The sequence below is a fragment of the Homo sapiens genome, chromosome 16, assembly GCF_000001405.40.
Source record: "Homo sapiens chromosome 16, GRCh38.p14 Primary Assembly".
Classification (NCBI taxonomy): Eukaryota; Metazoa; Chordata; class Mammalia; order Primates; family Hominidae; genus Homo; species Homo sapiens.
The window spans coordinates 57,729,187-57,733,620 of NC_000016.10; the positions used below are offsets into that span (position 1 = coordinate 57,729,187).

Consider the following 4,434-nt stretch of genomic DNA (forward strand, 5'->3'; position numbering starts at 1 on the left):
TGAATGGATGGATGGGTGGATGGATGAATGGATGAGTGGGTGGGTGGGTGGATAGATGAGTGGGTGGGTAGATGGGTGAATGGATGGATGGGTGGATGGATGAATGGATGAGTGAGTGGGTGGATGGATGGATGAGTGGGTGGATGGATGGATGGGTGGATGAGTGAGTGAGTGAGTGGGCAGATGGATGAATGGGTGAGTGGATGGATGAGTGGGCGGGTGGATGGATGAATGGATGGATGGGTGGATAGATGGATGGATGGGTGGGTGGATGAGTGAGTGGGTGGGTGGATGGATGAGTGGGTGGGTGGATGGATGAGTGGGTGGGTGGATGGATGGATGGATGGGTGAGTGAGTGGGTGGGTGGATGGATGAGTGGGTGGGTGGATGGATGAGTGGGTGGGTGGATGGATGGATGGGTGAGTGAGTGGGTGGGTGGATGGATGAGTGGGTGGATGGGGTGGGTGGGTGGATGGATGAATGGATGGGTGGGTGGGTGGATGGATGGATGGATGGATGGATGATGGATGGATGGGTGAGTGGGTGGGTGGATGAGTGAGTGAGCAGGTGGGTGGATGGATGAGTGGGTGGGTGGGTGGATGGGTGGATGGATGGATGAGTGAGTAGGTGGGTGGATGGACGAGTGGGTGGGTGGATGGACGAATGGATGGATGGGTGGATGGATGGATGGATGAATGGATGGGTGGATGAGTGAGTGAGTAGGTGGGTGGATGGATGAGTGGGTGGGTGGATGGGTGGGTGGGTGGATGGATGGATGGATGGGCGAGTGGATAGATGGACGGTTGGATGGGCGAGTGGATAGATGGACAGTTGGATGGATGAGTGGAAGGACGGATGGACGGATGGATGGATGGATGGATGATGGATGGATGGGTGAGTGGGTGGGTGGATGAGTGAGTGAGCGGGTGGGTGGATGGATGAGTGGGTGGGTGGGTGGATGGATGGATGGATGGATGAGTAGGTGGGTGGATGGAAGAGTGGGTGAGTGGATGGATGAATGGATGGATGGGTGGATGGATGGATGGATGAATGGATGGGTGGATGAGTGAGTGAGTAGGTGGGTGGATGGATGAGTGGGTGGGTGGATGGGTGGGTGGGTGGATGGATGGATGGATGGATGGGCGAGTGGATAGATGGACGGTTGGATGGGCGAGTGGATAGATGGACGGTTGGATGGATGAGTGGAAGGACGGATGGACGGATGGATGGGCAGGGATGGGTGGAGGGATGGGCAGAGGAATAGATGGGCAGATGGCTGGGTAGACAGAGAGATGGTACACTGTAACAACTCCTAGTCCTTGACCCATTTTTGTTGGTCAGGCACACACCATGTAGTTCCCGTGCACTACTAAGATTATGTCACTTAATCTTCACAAGGAGCTCTACAAGGGGAGGGGGGAGTACAATGACCCTCCTTTTGTAGACAAGAAATTGCAGGTTCTGAAAATGCCAGTAACTTGTCCAGAGCTACATGGCTCTCTCAGTCTTGCCCCGTTCTGATCTCATGGACATGACATCCCTATAAACATGACCCCACTGGCTCCCACCCAAGATATTTTGTGGCCCCTGCCTCTGTGGCAGGTATGGATAGGTGGCTTGTGTGAGTGGGGACACTGGGGCCAACCGTCATGGTGCTGTCTAGTGACCCATGGGATTGCAGCCTGCAGCCTGGGTGAAGGTCAGCCTTGTCAGTCCTCCTTCTCTGTCTGCCCTATGACCACAGGAGACCCAGGAGCTGCAAAAGAAGCAGCAGTGGTACCAGGAGAACCAGGTGACGCTGACACCCGAGGATGAAGACCTGTACCTGAGTTACTGCTCTCAGGCCATGTTCCGCATCCGCATCCTGGAGCAGCGCCTCAATCGGTGAGCAGGCAGGGCAGGTGGAGAGAACCCACTGGGAGGCTGGACCACCAGCTTTGTAACCCCTCACCCTCTTTCCTTGCCTCTCTGACTTCAGACACAAGGAACTGGCCCCACTGAAGTACCTGGCTCTGGAGGAAAAGCTCTACAAGGACCCACGCCTGGGGGAGCTCCAGAAAATATTCGCTTGATGTCCCTCCTGGGGCCTCAGCCAGAGCTGCCAGAGAAAGGAAACCTCTTCCCGCAGCCTGGCTCCTGTGTTCCCTCTATCCAGCCAATGCCTGTTTACACAGACACCTGGCCTCACTGCCAGCCCACCTCCCCTACAGCCCTGTTTGTTCCTGCTTCTCATGATTTTCCTGTAAATAAACACACTCTTAATTTGCCATTTGTGCCTTGCGCTTCACAAGCTCCAGCAGCAGCCTTTCTCTTCTTCTGTTATCTATAGCCTGGGACCACCCCCTTCCTCCCCTTGGCCTGTCGTTTGCTTCCTGTCCTTCTCTCCGTTGGAATGTCAGGTCTTCACAGCACCTCTGCAGATGGTCCCACAGCCATCTGCAAACAACTGGTTATATCTCAATGTGACTAGGGTGGCCCACCTCACCAAGTGGGATGGGGAAGGCTAAGATGCATGCCCCAGAATTTGAGGACTGAATCCCAGCTCCTCCTCTTACCAGATACCACTTACCCATCTGTGGAATGGGGTAGCATTGTTGCATTAAATAAGACTTATGGCCAGGTGTGGTGGCTCACACCTGTAATCCCAACATTTAGGGAGGCTGAGGCAGGAGGATCACTTGATCCCAGGAGTTTGAGACCAGCCTGGGCAACATAATAAGACCCCATCTCTAAAAAAAAAAAAAAACAAAGAGCCAGGCATGGTGGCATGAGCCTGTAGTCCCAGCTACTCAGGAGGCTGAGGTAGGAGGATCACTTTCACCTAGGAAGTCAAGGCTGCAGTGAGCCATGATTGCACCACTGCACTTCAGCCTAAGCAACAGAGCAAAACCCTGTCTCAAAAAAAAGAAAAAAAAGACATAAATTATAAAGCAGGGAGGCTGGGAATGGCACATAGAAAGCAGTCATTAAATGTTAGCTTACAAAATAGCCAAAAAACACATGAAATGGTTGTCAAATTCATGAGTCATCTGGCAAATGAAATGTCACAACACCCTCCGGTATGAAAAAAATAAAAAGTACTGGTGACGATGAGAAACAACTGGAACTCCCAAATAGCCTTCCTAGTGAAAGTATAAATCAGTACAACCATTTTGGAAAACTGCTTGGCATTATCTATTAAAGCTAAACTAAAGCCCAACAATTCTACTCTTAGGTTCTACTCCAATCCATCATTCATCAAGTAAGAATGATGAACAACTCAACCGAAATGTAGATAGATAGTTATCTGCTAAAAGGCATGTGCTAGAACTTTCATAGCAGCATTATTGATAATAGCACCATACTTGGAAGTTACCCAAATGCCCATCAAGAGCAGAATGGATACATAAATTGTGGTCTTCAGATATTTTGGGTTGTCTTTAACTGCTTAGGGAGAACTGCTTAGGGAGAATGCTACTGGCATCTAGTGCATACAGGCCAGGGATGCTGCTAAACATTCTACAATGCCCAGAACAGCCCCCCACAGCAAATAATTATCTAGGTCTAAATGCCAATAATGTTGAGGTTATAGAGTATATTAGTCTGTTTTCACACTGCTGATTAAGACATACTCAAGACTGGGTAATTTGTAAAGAAAAAGAGGTTTAATGGACTCACAGTTCCACACGGCTGGGGAGGCCCCACAATCATGGCAGAAGGCCAAAGGCACATCTTACATGGTGGCAGACAAGAAAGAATGAGAACCAAGCAAAAAGGAAAATCCCTTATAAAATCATCAGCTCTCGTGAGACTAATTCACTACCATGAGAACAGTATGTGGGAAACCCCTCCCATGATTCAGTTATCTCCCACTGGGTCCCTCCCACAATATGTGGGAATTATGGGAGCTACAATTCACAAGATGAGATTTGGGTGGGGATACAGCCAAACCATATCATAGAGCAATGAAAATGAATGAACTGCAACACAACTATATGGAATGATATGGTCAAACTGCCTAAGTATAATGTCAAAAGATTCAAGACACAAAAGTACATACTCTATTATTCCATTTATGGAAAGAACAAAAATAAGGAAAATTAATTGGTGATATTAGAAGTCAGGACAACCGTCACTCTTGGAGTGTGAGGGTTAGTGAATGGATGTGAGCATGGAGCCCTGGGAGGGGAGGTTCTGGTTTCTAGTCACGTTCTGCTTTTTGACCTGGGTGTGTTCGGTTTGTAAAAATTCATCAACCTTGTGCACTTACAATGTGTCCTCTGGAGTGTTTTTGACTGCTTGTTGTCATGAATCTAATCAAGCCTTTAGCCCTAACTTAAGAAATTCAAGGGAAGAAATGCATTTAAGAAGAACGTCCATCTAACAAGAACTTCAGGAAATTCAGGTAAATGATACTAAAAGGAAACATTCCTAACGTGGGACAATCTAGGTAAA

The 4,434-nt window shown here is 49.0% G+C and overlaps 1 protein-coding gene across 9 annotated transcripts in view; it reads left to right on the forward strand.

The window, feature by feature from the left end:
• Positions 1 to 2,619, forward strand: part of DRC7 (dynein regulatory complex subunit 7) — a 37,000-nt gene extending 34,381 nt beyond the window's left edge. For all 9 annotated transcript variants that reach the window (XM_047434768.1, XM_047434770.1, XM_047434771.1 and 6 more), the window contains 2 exons: positions 1,745 to 1,884; positions 1,979 to 2,619. In XM_047434768.1, the coding sequence (XP_047290724.1) occupies positions 1,745 to 1,884; positions 1,979 to 2,072 (234 nt within the window). In that variant the 3' untranslated portion in view covers positions 2,073 to 2,619. The remainder of the gene's footprint in view (positions 1 to 1,744; positions 1,885 to 1,978) is intronic.